A 17,542-nucleotide genomic window follows, 5' to 3' on the forward strand; every position below is an offset into this window, starting at 1 on the left:
AGGTGGATCATGAGGTCAGGAGTTCAAGACCAGCCTGGCCAAGATGGTGAAATCCCATCTCTACTAAAAATACAAAAATTAGCCAGGTGTGATGGCACACGCCTATAATCCCAGCTACTCGGGAGGCTGAGGCAGAGAATTTCTTGAACCTGGGGGATGGAGGTTGCAGTGAACCAAGATCGTGCCATTGCACTCCAGCCTGGGCAGCAGAGTGAGACTCCGTCTCAAAAACAAACAAACAAACAAACAAAAAACCAAGAGGCACATTTAAGACTTGAAATTTAGATGGAAATTTTAAAGTTTTAAGTTGTTCATATTCTACCCCAAACACATTCATCTCAAAAAATAATATTTAAAGCCATAGAATTTATAATTTATGCGTCAATAGTTTCTCCTTTAAGTGGTCACCAAAAAGATATCAAACTTTTTTTGCTATAAGAGCATATTTAAAAAATATCAATGAAAGTGTTACCAGTTTTCAATCCTCCTCACTTGGACATTAAAGGGATTAAAGTTATTGTCAGCACACACATGGATCAGCTTTCAATGGAAAAAAATTAATGTTTTTTGATGTTGTTTCTTTTCCTTAAGGCTTAAGGACACTAGGAGAAAGACATAAATAGAAGTATATATTATCATCTAGATGGTGACTCTCCAAGGGGATGATGAGGGAAAAGAAGTAATGCTACCCTAATTCTGAAATAATAAAAGCTCAAGCAATGAATGGCTGAATTCACACCTCAAAATTTCATGGAAGACAGGCATACAAAGATAAGCTTTCAAAATTGAATGAACTCATTACCACAATTAAAGAAAACAAAAAGAAACATTTTGCATAACTGCTGGTTTTGCTGCTCCTTCTGCTAATTTAGTTTGTCTGGAAGAGCCACTGTGTGGACCACCCATGCTTCAATGCACTTAACCAATACCTTTAGAAGAAAACAGGATAGCTACAAAGTCATAAAAAGTGGTATCTTTTTATGTTTCAGATTTCCATAAGGCGATTTCACAGTATTGCAGAGTGAAATCAATTAAGAAATAACTATAGCTATATAGGGAATATGCAACACATTAATATATTTATGGAGACTATATCTAGGCACATTTATTTTCAGCATTTGAAAATTACTGGTGAGAGTGAGTAACGTCCCTTCCCTGTTGTTTTGATAATCTCATGTCTTTTAAGCAAAAGGAAATGTATACTGCAAAATAGCTTTACCACTCTGACCTCAATATGGAGTAAAATGACAGATAACAAGCAGAAGCCGGTCAGTTTCACAAGTAAGTGATTCTGATGCTTTGGCTCATCCTGGTCCCTGCTCGGTTCCCACATCCTCATCTGGCTGACTTAGTTAAAACCTGCCATTTCTAAAGTTTAAGAAATTAAACATAGTTTGGGAGTACAAAGAGCCATCTTTGCTCTGATCTCATTAACAACCTCATAAGAGTTCATTTCCCTCACTAACTGTCCTCAGGAATGAAAGTTAAAAGACCTTGAATAATTTTTCCTACCGCCCCACAATGATACTGTACTACTGTCCTCTTTCCTGGTCTGAAACTCCTCTGGAAAGAGATGCACAGCCTCTAGTAAATCATAGTTTTTGTTTTGTTTAGTGTACTCTAAAGAGCTACATGGAACCTTTTAAATCATTCAATGCCAGGTCCATAAAGACCTCTGTGATTAACAAATCAAACCCCTTTCTTTTCAGTCAAGGCACCTGAGACTGAGAGGTAAAGTGACTGTCCTAAGGTTACCAAGCTTGGGCAAGACCAAGGTGATACTGCCACCATCTGTTCATTCTCCTGCCACCTTTTCAACTGGGGTTTATCCCAACCTCCTCATTTCACAGAGAAAAACAGAACCAGTGTGAACAGAAACAATTCACTTGGGAAGAGTGAGCCGAGGCTCTTTTATCAGTGTAGGTGGTTGAACTTCGGTAGCCACAGGGGACCTGACTTTGAGGACACAAAACACAGGATCCTTCGTGGTTCACAGTGGTGGTGTTAGGGAGAGGCAGTGAGCCTTGCATCATAGGTAGAACACGATGCAGCTGCAGGTGCAGAGAGTTATCAGGGAGAGAAGGGCCCAGAAGACTGGGAAAATGATAGTGGTGTCAAACAGGAAAATTACACTGAAATTACACCATGTCTTTTTACATTTTCCTCAGTCTCCGTCTGAGCCACAAGTGCACTGCAGTCATTTCAGAGATACAGAAGCTTATCTTGCTTTTTGAAAAGTTTTTCTTAATATTTGTCCTAGGGTCCACAGGAAATGAAAAACCCAAGGCATCCCTCGCCCTCTCCCCGCAAGTCACCTGCTATGAATACCTGCATTCATTCTACAAAGCCTTTATCAGTCCCTGGAATGCCACGTATTTATTAGCTGTCTCCACACATTAAGAATAAGATGTATAGAGCAGGAACCTGTCATTCTTCTCCATCCTGTCTTCCCAGTGCCTGCCTCAGTGCCTGACACATAGCAGGTGCTCCAAAGGAATAAATAAATTAGGAAATCCTACCACCTGCTTCTAGCATGTAATATCTACTACCCTGGAGTGGAATGAAAGGGTTATTAAAATACCCAATGACAGCCTCAGGTCTTTCCTTCTAGTGTGGAAACTACAGCAAGAACCAACACAAATTAAAGTGTCTAAAAAAATCAATTGGGGCAGGCATCTTCTTCTGAACTACATTTACTAGAGCCTGCCACCCACAGATGTCAAAGGAATTCACAGGATTAAAAGAAAAGGCTGGAGGTGAGAAAGTTAATAACTACTCTTGTGACATCTAGGGCTGGGCTACAAGTGGTCAGCACATGGACCTCTCCATATATGTTGTCAGATGTCAAGGAGTGGCTTTACAGATAGACAGCCTTGGACCCCAATGCTAAATCTTCCACTTATTAGCACTGTGATCATGGGCAAGTTATTTAACCTCTCCAAACCTCTATTTCCTAATCTCTACCACAGAGATAACAGTACCTACTTCACAGGGCTGTTATGAGGCTCAAATGCAAGAATATATGTAAGCAACTAGCTCAATGCCTGGCATACAATTGTAACTGCTATTACTATTGTTATATGAGCTATTGATATTTTTATCTGATCCCAGATAATACTCAATAATCAAAGTTAATCTCCATCTGCTTTTCTGAACCAGGAATTACTGCTTTATCCTGGGATTACTATAAGGTCAAGATGGCAAGTGAGTTTCAGCTCATATTCCGAGTCACATGGATTTCAAGTGAATGCTTGGGGGCTGGTTGAGATGCACTGTGCTGTGATTGATTGTGACATGTGCCAAGGGTGTGGAGCCAGGCTTGTTGGTTGGTTCTAATATTAGAATTGGTAAGCCTCTTGTAGTAGTATCACAGAGACTAACAGCTATTTTAATATTATATAATAAAGCATAGAGAAATCAAAAGAATGGGCTAAGAGTCAGATGGTCTAAGTTCTAATTTTAGCTCTGCAACTAACTGGTGAGAAGATCAGAATATGCCACCCCAAATTATGACACTTTGGCATGAAGATTATTTTGAGCTGAAAGCAACTGAGAAACAGCAGAAAAAGCTCTCTACCCTACCCCTATCTGCCTATAGGCAGGGCATACATTTCCCCTTGTAAAGGTGCCCTCTGCCCCAACCCCATACCAGGAAGAGGAGACAACCCTTATCACTACAGATGGGCACTGACTTAAATCTGCTAAAACAAACCTTATTGAAGTAACCCTTGTCTTCCATTAGTTCCCACATATATTTACCTTCCCACAATATATGGCCCCTAGAAGCCTCAAACCATTTTCCTTTATCTTGTCACTTCTCCATAAGTTTATTGCCCTTTGTTAAAATGGTATATAAGCCTCCAGATCTGATGACCTTCTTGGGGGTATTCACTTAATTTCTGTGAGGCCCCCTCACATACATATAAAATAATCCTTTTTCTCCCGTTAACCTGTCTTTTGTAAGTTTATTTTGTGGGGCCCCAGACACTGAATATAAGCGGGTAGAGGAAGAAGTTGGGTTTTTTCCTCTCTAACACTGAGTAAGTGATTTTAATCCAGTCACTTCTCTTTCTCTGTGAAGTTATTTCCCATTGAAGTACTGTGATTTGCTGATAATTGATTTTTTAAAATGTAAGTAAAGTGAAACACATATAGCTATGACAGGGCCTGGGGTACAGGATGGGTATTTGTTATGATTATTTGAAAGAAAAATAAAAGCACAAGGCTATTATATGGAAGTGTAACAGTTAAATATTTTCTGTCCTCATTCAAAAAGATTGACTCTTCCTATCAATGAGGAATATATTCACAATGAGATAAAATTGCAATATTTTTGGCACTAAAAAAAAATCAGCAAATGCTTAGTAATTCTCCAAGAAAGACAAGACTGTTGTGAATATGGGGGCTCTTTAATAACCAAGGCACCATTTAAAAATAGCTAGAATTAATTACAGGGCTAATGACCCATTGAAAGGCTTATTTAAATACCAAAGCCAGCACTGAACAATCATGGAAAATATGACTTAAAAGGGCTTTAGAGAGCAGAAACCAGGAACCGCAGTTCAAACAAAAAACACATTATCCTAGAACTCTAGCTACTTTGGTGAGAAACATTCAGGATGCGAAAAATCTCAGGGGAGTTCTCAGGCTGGGTAAGAGAAGCCACTAGGATCAACAGAAAGACAAGAAGATGACACATACGGTCACCTGTTTGGAAAAGAAGGACTGCCATTTAGCATTCACCCAAAGAGAAGAGAGAAGAGCCCTTCAAAAACCATTCTCCCCCAATCATCAAGGCTTTCTTTCCCCCACGCTCACCCCCTGGTTTTCTGATGTACCCACCCATTTTTAATGTACCATAGGATAAAATTAAAATTTCCACAGAGAGGAAAAAATATATTGTAATAAGTCTCTGTGGCCACTTTAGAGCTGCATTATCTCCAAGAGCTTCCTGTGTCTTGGTCCTCTGTGCCCTGCATCCATGCCATCATAAGCCAAAGAAGAGGTGATAATCTTCAGCGTGCCCTACTTGCCAGGCAAAAATGATGCCACTGCAGTTCTTAGCTTCTCTCTGTACCAAAATGGCCTTTCTGTATGTCAGTATCCTGGGAGCACACCAGGTGGCCAGAGCTGAAACAGTTTCATTACTTCATTCATGCCCATTGATTAAATGCATTACTCTTACCCTTATTTACTGTGGCCTAGACATGCCTTGTAGTTGCCTTGCTAAGTTAAAAGTGTCATAAAATCAAAAGGTTCCAAAGCCCTTGAGAGCTCAAGGTGGGGAGGTAGGAGAGGGAGTGGGGCACTCTCGACATATATTGGTTTCAAGGAGCAAATATAAATTTTAGTATAAATTGCTGTTCACAATAACGCTTTTAAACCAGCAATTGTTTACACTGTACTACTCGAGGAACCCTATAATTATTCTGAAAGCACTTGCCAACGTCTACCCTGTTTCATAATTGCCAACACAGCCTTGTTCAAAAGAATTAGTGGCAATGTTAAAATTCTGTTTGGTACTAGGTTACTGTTTGAAACAATTAGTGATTGCACGATGCTGGGATATGCAAGCAGAATGGGGCCAATAAAGTACCCTAAGAATGAAGTGGTCTTGTGTTCATATTCACAGGTGGGAAGAAAAGGAAGGTGGTGGCTGAAACGGAAAAAAAACTGCTTGAATTTTTTTTTCCTTTTTTCTTACTACTTTCCCAAGAAATACTGTCATCTGTTGAGCAAAATGACTTTAAGAAAATGTTTTTTCAAATGCTGGAAATGGTAGTGATTTGAAGGAAAAAAGATAACCCACTTCTCCCTCTTCCCCACTCCTTCTTGCCTGGAAAATATGTTTCTATTTCCGGCCTTTACTCCTGATATTTGTAAGTGAATCTGGGTAGTGATTGTGGAACCTCGGCTTACACATCTCAAAACACCCATCTGTGCAGGTCACTGGACTTTGCTGACCTATTTTCTGCTGTTTCTTTCTGTTACACAAATCTCCCCCACTTGAAAGAGCAATAGTCCCTCTACTTTCCAATGAAGCACAGACAGCAGAGAGATTTCTCACTCTCTGTAAATGCAAAAGCTTTTGGAATGTCTGGCATTTCAGGTGAGTGTTTAGGAAAAAACGGATCTCATCCTGGGTGTCTCTCCCATCTTTATTTCATGCTTTCTCTTCTTATAAACCCACAACTGTGGACAAGGGGATCTGTGTTCCCCATCGCCAAGTGAAAATACATTCTAAATCTACCCTCAAAATTGAGGGTGCTGTGCAAAGTTTCATAAATAGAAACAGGGAGGAGAAAAATCTGGCATGACAACTTCTGAATTTAAGCCATTTATTCTCACCTCCACCCCACTTCTATCCCGCCTTTTCTCTTTTATGAACAGGTGATATAAAAGCAGAGAACTAAGGCAGTTACCTAAATAAATTTTGTATTACCTGTCTAAATATTTTAGGGAAGTGTTTTTTCTATTCTGAGTGTCCAGGCTATTTTCTTAGTTCTCGTGTTCACTCTGCAGGTGAAGATATTGTCACTGACTGGGGAATGTGCCTGTGGACCATAACCCAAAGGTGGCATCTTTTGTGATAAAACAGGTATAACCCTGTTTCATGAGTCTATTGGCCACGAAAGAGATCCTCTATGCCTGGAAGTTCACGGCTTCCCCTTTCTCTTCATCATTTTCTGGTTCTGCGGGAGGCTCCATCTTTGATTCAAACCTCACTTCTTCCTAAAAGCCTTCGTAAATGAAGAAACCTTGCAAATTACAGTGGATGTTTCCCCTCACCATTCATGTATCCAGTTTGTACTTCCTTATCTTCCTTTTGTGAATATGGTGGCTTGCCATTCTGCCTCCAGGAACACTTGTTTGTCCACCCCAATCCAATGATAAAGGACAAAGAAAAGATTTATCAGAGCATGTATTTATGCATAGCACATCCCCAAATGCTTGAACAGCAATAAGTACCCAAAAAAGTACTGTTTAGGTAGCCAACTCCCACTGTCTAATTTAATCCCACTGAAACTGGATGTGTCTTTTTCTCCTTTTGTTCTAAAGAAACTTGTTCTACTACTATTTGCTGGCAGGAATAATTTTCTGCCACCTGTAGTACTCTCTGCTTCTGTGAAGGCTGAACTTCAAGTTGCTGTGAAAGAATTTGCATTATCCCTCTATAGTCATACCTAAAATTAACCCACTGTCTTAAGTTAAATAAGATATAGAATGCTCACAACTGTTATGGTTATCGGAGAACTAGAGAGTGAGGCTTTCTGGCACTACGAGAGGATGTAGAAGATGACACATGTGGTTTGGCCTTTATTTGGAAGCAGCAAAAATCACAGAGGTGGTGGTTACAAGACAAAAAAGGCCAGGGGAGTGAACACAAAGTTTTGGCTGAGTTACTTTGTACTATTATGTAATGAGATACAAGCTCGGCCTTGCTTGAGTTTAAATAACCATAATGAACTGTTATAAACTCTGGGATGGAGGCATTATAAACATAGGAAATTCTGTACTTGGTCCTCCAGTTGGTCAAGTCTACTTGTATTCATAAGGAACACATTCCCTTGGGCTACAAGAGAAACATTCTGCAAACTGGAAATAGAAGTTACTTTCTGGATAGTTCTCTCAAAGAATATAATGAAGTAAACCCGAACTTCAGACATCTCTGTGATCATGTATTTTAGAACATCACCAGAGCAAACAGCAATGAATCTCAGCTGATTAGAGCTTTAGTAAGTAATTGGGATAGCTGAATATCCAAATAACTGGAGTGTTATCCAAGTAAACACATGAAAACAAAGAGGGCAGTTATCATAAATATTTTTAAAGAAATATTTCTAAATTATGACCTATTTCTTTTCTCTGTAGAGAATTTTGAATCGAATTTACTTTCTTGATGATAAACAGTCATCAGAAATTTTATTTTAAAATTTATTAGAAATTTGGAGAGCAGGATGTTTGGCCTCTGAATGGGAACCTTAGTAGTGCCAATGACGAAAGAGAGAATTAAATATGGGTGATGTTGAGAAAACCAAGATTTTTGTCTAGAAGTATGCCCAGTGCCACACCGGGGGAAAGGGAGGCAAACACAAGACTGGGCCACATCTCCATGGTCTCTGGATGGAGGACAGGTCAGGAGGCCTTTGGATTCACTTACACAGACGCCAGTAAGAACAAAAGCATCACCTGAAGACAGGATACACTGATGGAGTATTTGGAGAATCCCAAAAAGTTCATCCCTGGAACGAAAATGATAGCCTATCTCAAAAAAGCTACTAATGGGCATTAATTAGTTGGCCACTGCCTTGTTTATTACAAAACAGGAACATCTCATGACTTTTTTGTGTGTACCATAATTTAATAGATCTCATACACCAGAATTCAGATCATTAATGTCTGACTGAATATTTTTGTTGGGCAGTCCTGTTAACTAAGACTGGATTGTGGTTAAATGCGTATGTTTGATGTTTCTTTGAATTTTAATAGTAATTTCGATTCAGTAAATGCTATCACTGTTTCCCCCTTCTAAAGATATGGTTGGACTTCATTAGTAATGTTCAACTTTTCATAAAGATGGTGAATACCACCTTAAAACCTATTGGAGATTGGTTTTATGTTTAGATTTATATAACTGGTTATGTGAATATATTTAAATACTTGGGAATTTCCTTCACTGTCTCAGAACCAAGCAAGAGTCACCTGTATTTTGTGTTCTGTTGCCTCTTAAAGGCAAGGTCTGAAGATCAGGTAGCAATGTCTACTTTATATTTTTGGCTTTGACTGTGCCAATCTCATTAGAATTCCCTGTATCTAAAACGGTTCCCTTTACTTACAGAAAGGCATTTTAGTGTAGGCTTTAGAAAAGTGTGCAATATTTAGAGTGATATTATACACTAAAGTGTAATAGTTGAGAAGAGTTAAATATTTTTTATTTGATATTACACTTTGGTGTGTAGTGTAATATCAAATATACTTTATAAATAATAAAAATCTTATAAACAACAAAATCTAATAAAAATCAAATAAAGAACATTTAATATTACACATCAAAGTGTAATACGAAATAAAGAGTATTTTACTCTTCTCGAAAAAATTTATTAGACACTTATGAAAAAAGTATAAAATTATTGTATATGCTGTAATGCTCTGAAGGCCTTCTAAGATTTATATGACATTTTGCCCCAACACTAAATGGCCCTGGTTTTTATCCTTTTTATGTTTTTTCTTCCTCCTTCATCTGTAGTTTTCCTTCCTTCTGTAGTCATATGCTAGATCTTATGAGGCCCTCCCTCTACTTGTAATTAATATTTTGTCTTAGAATTAGCTATGTCTTGGAACCCAACCAGATAACTAAGCTTGTGTAAAAACCAATTATAAATAGGATGTACTGGGTCTAAAGAGATTTCCTCTGAAATCAAGTGCATTCACTGTAGTGCTTGAACTTTGGGTCTCTGTTTTGGCAACCTAAAGGCCTATTTGCTTACTTCCTAACTTCTCAGATGGTTTGTGACAGAGAAGGTTGCCAGAGGACAGATTCATCACAGGTGAGGTATTGCTGTAGTAGGAAGGCAAAAAAGGTAATTGAAAGACCCTGTTCTTCAAATTACCAAGAGAAAGATGTCGTGCAAGGAATAGGACAATGACCTTTCTGTTATTTGCATTACGGCTTGATAATTATCACAAGTACATTCAGTTTGAGAGTTTCTCGATCTCTTCTCAATGCCTTCAAATAGATATGTTACAAGACATGGCAAATTGATTCTTTACCTAAGCGAGGCCAGTTTCATGTTCCAAAAATATTTCAAAGCCAAATACACATAACTTTATAAATTTAGCCACTGTTTTTTTTCCCCTTGACTGTTTTATTCTTGACTGCCATAGCCAAGAGTTAATATAGTTGCGTTTTCTTAAGGAAGCAACATAAGTTCTAACAATAAATCTGTGAAAATGAATTTGTGATTTTAGTTCATTTTTGGATGATTTCAACCAATCATTGTAGCCCATACCTGGCAAAGCAAAAAGTTTATCACAGCAACTCCTTATTTTGCTCCCTATGAGATTGTATTAAATTTAGATCTCTCCAGAACATTTGACTCCCTTCTTAAGGAGATTTATGTTGAAAATTCTCACATAGCCACAAAACGCAGTCCATTTTATATTAAAATGTGAGTGTATTTCTAAAATTTTTTCTTTTGTTTTGTTTGTGTTCTCAAGAATGCTTTCTAAAACAAACTCATGTGACATAAACAGGGCCAGCTTGCCCTAGTTACACCCTTACTATTTCATTAACAAAGGAACTGGGCTGCCATTCTGTTTTTGTTATGCTTATGCTGAATAACTGTACTCAGCCAGCTGCCATGACTTGTCTGTAATCCCAGCACTTTGGGAAGCCAAGGTGAGAGGATCACTTGAGCTCAGGAGTTCAAGACCAGCCTGGACAATATAGTGAGACCCTGCCTCAAAAAAAAAAAATTAGCCGAGTGTGGTGGTGCCAGTCTGTGCCTGCCTGTAGTCTCGGCTACTGGTCGGGGAGAGGGGCCTGAGGTGGGAGGGATCACTTGAGCCTGGGTCACGGCTGCAGTAAGCTGTGGCAACAGAGCAAAACCCTGGGTGACACAGCAAGATGTGTCTCAATAAAAATAAGTATATAACTGTATTCAAATGACTTTCTTCTTCTAATGTGGCTGCCTGGGCAATTTGTCCATTTTTTCCCAGCAGCAGCTGCTAATGTTTAAGTGTAATTTTACGCTAAATTTTTTTTAATTAAAAAAATTAAAAGTTACACCAGCTTATTGAAGCAAATATAGAAAATACAGAGAAGTATATGGAATAAAAAATAAAACATATTGTCTTCACTGCAGAGACAACCAAGTCTTTAAAAATGTACATGTCTGTATATACACATCTGTACTCCCACATGAGCACACACACGTTGGCAGTGATGTTTTAAAATGTAAGTGTTTTTATACATGGGAAGTTTTAACTTGTGTTTTTTTTTTTTTTGTTTTGTTTTTGTTTTTTTTTTTGTTTTTGAGACGGAGTCTCGCTCTGTCGCCCAGGCTGGAGTGCAGTGGCGCGATCTCGGCTCACTGCAAGCGCCGCCTCCCGGGTTCACGCCATTCTCCTGCCTCAGCCTCCCGAGTAGCTGGGACTACAGGCGCCCGCTACCACGCCCGGCTAATTTTTTGTATTTTTAGTAGAGACGGGGTTTCACCGTGTTAGCCAGGATGGTCTCGATCTCCTGACCTCGTGATCCGCCCGCCTCGGCCTCCCAAAGTGCTGGGATTACAGGCGTGAGCCACCGCGCCTGGCCAACTTGTGTTTTTTTAAATATGGAGAATGCAAAATAATAATAAATAATGAGGCATAATTATAATTGTGATGACAAGAAAGTAATAAAAAAAAGTTAAACTCTTTAACTCTGAAACTAACATTAAGAATTTTATCCCGTGTTGTAGATCCAGGAACACATGAGGAAGATGCTTTAACATCTTTATGTTAAAGCTTTAACAACATGGCTCTCAAGGTTTTTGGACCCCCTTCCATAATGTAATAGATTCTGAATTGCAAAATACCAATACATTTTGTTAAAGGGTCAAGAACTATAGAAGGAAAGTACATCTCAATCCAAAACTATATCCATTGAGAAAAGAAAAATAGCTCAGAACCATATGAGCTATATAAGTGATGCAAAATTTATCACGCCCTGAGAGACATAATATGGGACTTCAGTGACACTCCCCCCATGCAGGGGTGGTGGTGGGGGACTATTTAAAGCCATTTTGTTCCTGACTAGATGCTGCCTCCATTATCTTCATGTTACTGGAATCTGTGATACACAGAACAATAGCTTATGGGTTTAACAAAAAAAAAAATTTTTTTTCTTTTTTTTTGAGACGGAGTTTTGCTCTTGATGCCCAGGCTGGAGTACAGTGGCGCGATCTCGGATCACCGCAACCTCTGCCTCCCAGGTTCAAGCGATTCTCCTGCCTCAGCCTCCTGAGTAGCTGGGATTACAGGCGCCTGCCACCACCACATCCGGCTAATTTTGTATTTTTAGTTTCACCATGTTGGTCAGGCTGGTCTCGAACTCCCGACCTCAGGTGATCTGCCCGCCTTGACCTCCCAAAGTGCTGGGATTATAGGCATGAGCCACTGCGCCCTGCCAGTTTACAAAAATTTTGTTGAGACAGAGTCTGACTCTGTCACCCAGGCTGGAGTGCGATGGCACGATCATAGCTAACTGCAGCCTTGACCTCCTGGGCTCAGACAATCCTCTTGCCTCAGCTTCCTGAGTAACTGGGATGACAGGCATGTGCCAATATGCCCAGCTAGTTTTTACATTTTTTTTTTGAGGCGGGGTTGGGGGGGGGTTGCTTTTGTTTTGAGACAGAGTCTTGCTCTGTCGCCCAGGCTGGAGTGCAGTGGCTCTATCTCGGCCCACTGCAACCTCTGCCTCCCGGGTTCAGGCGATTCTCCTGCCTCAGCGTCCCAAGTAGCTGGGACTATAGGCCCGTGCTACCACGCCCAGCTAACTTTCTGTATTTTTTTTTTTTTTTTAGTAGAGATGGGGTTTCACCATGTTAGCCAGGATGGTCTCGATCTCCTGACCTCGTGATCCACCCGCCTTGGCCTCCCAAAGTGCTGGGATTACATGCATGAGCCACTGTGCCTGGCTTTGAATTTTTTGTAGAGATAGGGGTCTTGCTATGTTGCCCAGGCTGCTCTCAAACTCCTGGGCTTAAGTAATTGTCCTGCCTCAGACTCCCAAAGTGCTGACATTACAGGCATGAGCCACCATGCCTGGCCAATAGCTTATGTTATTTAAATATAAATTCTTGGTAAACAATTTAGAAACTGCCTCTTATTTCTTCCTTTAAAAATTCACTTGTAACTGCTGTTAATCCGAGTGTACAAGGCAACTTCAATCTATTCTCCCAGGTGGCTATCCTCAAGTTTGGGCTCAAATAAATGCTATACTTAATCATATTTTCTGAATCTTGTTACTTAAGGCGGACACGTATAAGTTGAAATTCTCCCAAAGTGAACACGGAGTCAGTCTACCAAAGTAAAATCAAACTAAGGTGAATATTTAAATATTCAGACAAACATCCCTGCTATTGAAAAAAATCACAAATATTTGCTTAGCATCCACTAAGTGCAAGATGCTGATGGTGCAAATACCAGGTGTGCCAGACAACTGCTCAGCCTTTTATACCTCTTGGCCTAACTAGACACACCTGCAGTTTTCCACATGGAATTCCTCTTCTTGCACTTTGGCCTAAGCACGCATTTTTTCTAATGGTGGAAAATATTAAACAGACTTTTGCTTTAGAAGGTATCTCACTTCACTTCAAAGCAAAGTCTACCTTGTGAATTTAATTAGGGAACCTTCATGAGATTTTACCCCTTATGTATATTTCCAACTATTTTAGTCATCAAGAACACTTACTGTTCCAATTCTGCCACGGATGTGGTCAATCTTAGGGAAATTTCTTTGAGCCTCAGTTTCTTCATTTGTAGCATGGGGATCTTACCCACCTAAAACCAAACTGAGACAGCACAGTGCTTGGGGGACAGGAGACTCTCAGTAAACAGCAGCTCTTATTGTTGTGCCCCAGAGAGTCTCTTAGGAAACGGGCTCCCCAGAGCTTCAAACCATGGCTTTTCCTGTGTGGCTACATCACAGACATTGTTTATCAGAGGACACATCTTCTAGTTCACTGTGGTTCATTCTTGGTGGTCATTGGAAGTTTGCTCCATTACAGCAAGTACACACACAGGTAGCGATGGCCTACATATTTATTTTCAAGCAATGTTTTCCAGCAGACATGGCATTCAGTGTTGTATGAAACATCCCCATACAATTCCACAGACCTGCATGCGGCTTTCACTTTGCCCTCTATTGTACAGCCTTTCATGGGCTGCTTGACTTGAGCACACTTCTCACTACATACTTCATTTTATTAGGATATGAATTTTATATCCAGATAATGAATCCAAAGTCTGAGAAAGATGCATGCTTACAATTGGTATACAGCACGGCTGTGGAGACATGTTGAGAAGCTCTGGGATGAGACACCTAAATTCAAATCCCAGCTCACACTTCTGTGTGAACTTATGCAAAAATTTTAACCTTTTTGATTCTCAGTTCCCCTCATCTGTAGAATGGTTATCCCCATTATGGGTTATCCCCAGAGTTGTTGAAAGTTAAAAGTGATCATGCTTGTTCAGTGTTTAGCCCAGTGTTTGGCATAGAGAAAAAAATGCAATAAATGGCATCTTATAATGCAATTGTTACTGATTTTATCTTAACATAATGCTCTTTACATTTGGCCCACCAAATAAGATCATCTTTTGGAACCATTTTTTACTGCCAGTGAGAACCATTTGGTCAGAATGATCCACACTCTCATCTAGTTGCTTTTAACTTCACTTATGAGAGAGCTGACTAGGGATAGGGGTAAACTGAGGGTGACAAAAGACTATTTTCCTGTGTTCTAAGTCTGCTGGGCTATATTAAATCTGATCTTTTGGTCTCATCAGGACAATCCTTTAACCAGGAAAGGTGGGGGCCTGGGAAGACTACAGCTTGCTAGAGCAAGTCATCCTTGACATGTTGAACTTTCAACAAGTTTATCACTCAGATATATTTGGGGGATAGGGAATCTGAGAAAACCCTAGATTAAAAGTATTTTATCAGCGCAAAACAGTGATTATTCTAAGACAATTATATGACAGCATAAAAGTATTGATATTTAAATATCTCAATACCCCAATGGCACCCGAACGAAAACCCTGCAACCAGTACAATAATAGCATTATTATACATTTTTGCTTCACTTTGTGGGACTTTAAATTTAATGCCAGAACCAACAGCTTACAAACTGCTGTGGACAAGCAGTGACCCCCTTGTGAGCTCGGTAAATGTTATCTATTGTATTCTACCAATATCTCAGCAAAAAGACAGAGTGTTCCTGAAACAGTCTCTAAAGTCGTCCATCAGAGCTTTGAAGAAGAACACTGTCTTCTTTTCATGTGGGCTGATTTTAAGGGACAATAGAGGTTTAACAGAGGACAACACAATTGGATTGAGATAAAACTGCTATATTCCCAAGAATTCTCCCATAAAGGTAAATTCCACAGATAAGACATTTACTTTTTTCTTTTTACATTTTTTGGTTTTAATTTTTAAAGTTGCTTTTTCTTGCAACTAGAAGCTCAAGTACCATTGCTATTCAGTGTTGGTTTCAGATAGTGCTAGAGGTGGCAAAAATAATTCTGCAAATGCGACTCACAGTGTGCACATTATATGTAATCTGTTTTCATGTATTCATTAGCAGAGACATTTGGAATACCTTGTTGCTGAATAATGAAATAAATTGCATTTGTCCAATATCGTCCCATCTATATCACATTTATTCCAGACTTGAGCCTACACCAATGTTATTCAACAGCCAACTCTGTCTCATTCATAATGGATTTTTCTCCAAATGGATCTGTTTCATGTTAAAATTAGTGATAAAGTTAGTTTTTAATGGAATAGGCAGCAGGCAACAGCAGCTTCCGAAAGTATAACCTAATGGGGATAACTTAATTATTAGCCATATCACCCTCAGAGAACCAGGATTATATTAAAACTCAATTTGGTACAAACATATATAGATACCACCCCTGTTTTTTCTTTAAATTAGCTAATTATGATGTGGCCTGAATTGATAAAGTCAACACATCCTCTCAAAGAACCACTTAAACACTTAAGGAAAATGAATAGTCCTTGGATGCAAGGCCAGGTATTTGACGGATTTATGAATGTCACTCACCTCCTGGCTTGAACAGAAGTGAATTCTGATACAAGTTTCTTGCCCACCTACACTCTTGATGCTGGTAAACTGTTAATTAAGCATTTCGGTAATATAATGCAAAGTTAATAACAGAGACCTATAATTAACATACACTCATATGTGCACTCTAAAAATAGGGTATCAAGGAAAGTCTTCCTATTAGGTGATGTGATCAAGATTAATTGGTTAATGTCTATATAGCCCACCTATACATAAATAAGCTTATGATTATTATAATTATGGAGAGCAGAGTTCAAAATCCACTTCAAGTTCAAAGAATAGTATTTTATACATCTAAGTATAGACGCAAATATTTAACTCTGTAAAAATACTTATTTTAATGCTATTCCAAATGTTTAATAAGTATTACTCATCACTCAAGTTTTCCTTTTTCTTAGTAAAAAATCATAGATGTTTCAAAAAATAATTCCCTTTTGCCGTTAATAACATTTTAATGTTATTTTAATTTTTTTTGAAAACTTGGTCATAGGCAGGGAAGAGGGAAAGTTTGGTGTTAATGCAGAAACTGCCTTGTTAATTAATCACAGTGCATACTGGTGGATGGATAAGCAGAAGGTGATTTAAATTTACTGAAAGCTAGGTTTATATGAAAAATAGAGCAATAAAGTTGGCTTCCCAATAAAGTTGGGTTCCTAGCCTCCAAGTCTTACACATTACTTGAGGTTGGGGAGATGACTAGATGAATACATGGTAGCAACTTATAAAGATCATAATAACAGAATATACCAAACCAGATTTCTTTTAGGGAATTCGGGAAGATTATTTGTCATTTGATTTGGGCCACAGAGAATGAATATCGCACTTCCCTAGGCAGTGAAAGTTGCGATGGGAGTGAAGAAAAGCCAAGGAGAGGTCCCAGCATGAACATGCGTGATGTGTTCAAAGAGAGGCTCACTGTGTCTCAAGGGCAGGGTAGAGTGGAGCAAATGGCTCAATATAAGGATGGAAAGTGGGTAGCCAGGTTGGCGGGACCTAATCCTAAAGGGCCTTGAATACTCTGTTAAGGAGTTTGGACTTATTTTCTAGGTGACTTAAGCCTTCAGAACAGAAAGGAGTCTGTTTAGATTACGTGTGAGAGCTCATCTGTCCAATGTTCAACCACACAATCTCAATAATGATAAAGATACTAACAAAGATGAACTAGCCAAAACCATTAATCTGCTTCCATAACGAGCTAGCCTATGAGTTTTTAAAATATGTTTCTAGCCATTAATAACCAGGGAATTTCACATTAAAGTTCAGATTTATAGATTCTCTTAAAAAAAAAAAAAAGACCTGGTGATGACAGACCAGTTATTCCAAACGGCGACAGAGCCAAGGGAGGTGCTCCCTTTCCAAAGCATATGTGCCGTCCAGCGGTCCAAGTGCCTCCTCTACCTGCCACACTCACACCACCTGCCTAGGGGCACTAAATGTTTGGGTTTGCACCTTTTCTTTTAGAGAGATGCCCTCTTTTATTATCATTATTATTATTATTATTATTATTTTTTTTTTTCTGAGACTGAGTCTTGGTCTGTTACCCAGGCTGGCGTGCAGTGGTGTGATCTCAGCTCATGCAACCTCCATCTCCCAGGTTCAAGTGATTCTCCTGCCTCAGCCTCCCGAATAGCTGGGACTACAGGCATGCACCACCACACCCAACTAATTTTTGTATTTTTAGTGGAGACAGGGTT

The 17,542-nt window shown here is 39.2% G+C and overlaps 1 protein-coding gene, 1 long non-coding RNA gene and 1 pseudogene across 12 annotated transcripts in view, besides 1 other annotated feature; 2 read left to right on the plus strand and 1 right to left on the minus strand.

Moving 5' to 3' along the window:
• RORA-AS1 (RORA antisense RNA 1) overlaps positions 1-17,542 on the plus strand; it is a 151,462-nt gene that overhangs the window by 70,886 nt on the left and 63,034 nt on the right. The window lies entirely within an intron of this gene.
• The window catches only part of RORA (RAR related orphan receptor A), a 741,019-nt gene that overhangs the window by 61,780 nt on the left and 661,697 nt on the right, over positions 1-17,542 (minus strand). Inside the window, exons 2-3 of one of the 10 annotated variants that reach the window (NM_134260.3) lie at positions 8,162-8,243; positions 6,790-6,865 (exon numbers count right to left, since the gene is read on the minus strand). The exons of the other annotated variants lie outside the window; for them this stretch is intronic. Coding sequence (NP_599022.1) covers positions 6,790-6,865; positions 8,162-8,243 — 158 coding nt within the window. The remainder of the gene's footprint in view (positions 1-6,789; positions 6,866-8,161; positions 8,244-17,542) is intronic. 10 annotated transcript variants of the gene reach the window in all.
• Positions 5,770-6,271: an enhancer, noted in NCBI's record as "NANOG hESC enhancer chr15:60848032-60848533 (GRCh37/hg19 assembly coordinates)". NCBI's record gives its function as "activates a minimal SCP1, AML or CMV promoter by ChIP-STARR-seq in primed H9 embryonic stem cells {active_cell/tissue: H9 hESC(primed)}" and the evidence as "EXISTENCE:reporter gene assay evidence [ECO:0000049][PMID:30033119]".
• CYCSP38 (CYCS pseudogene 38) lies at positions 7,957-8,897 on the plus strand (annotated as a pseudogene).

Source organism: Homo sapiens, chromosome 15, assembly GCF_000001405.40.
Source record: "Homo sapiens chromosome 15, GRCh38.p14 Primary Assembly".
NCBI lineage: Eukaryota > Metazoa > Chordata > Mammalia > Primates > Hominidae > Homo > Homo sapiens.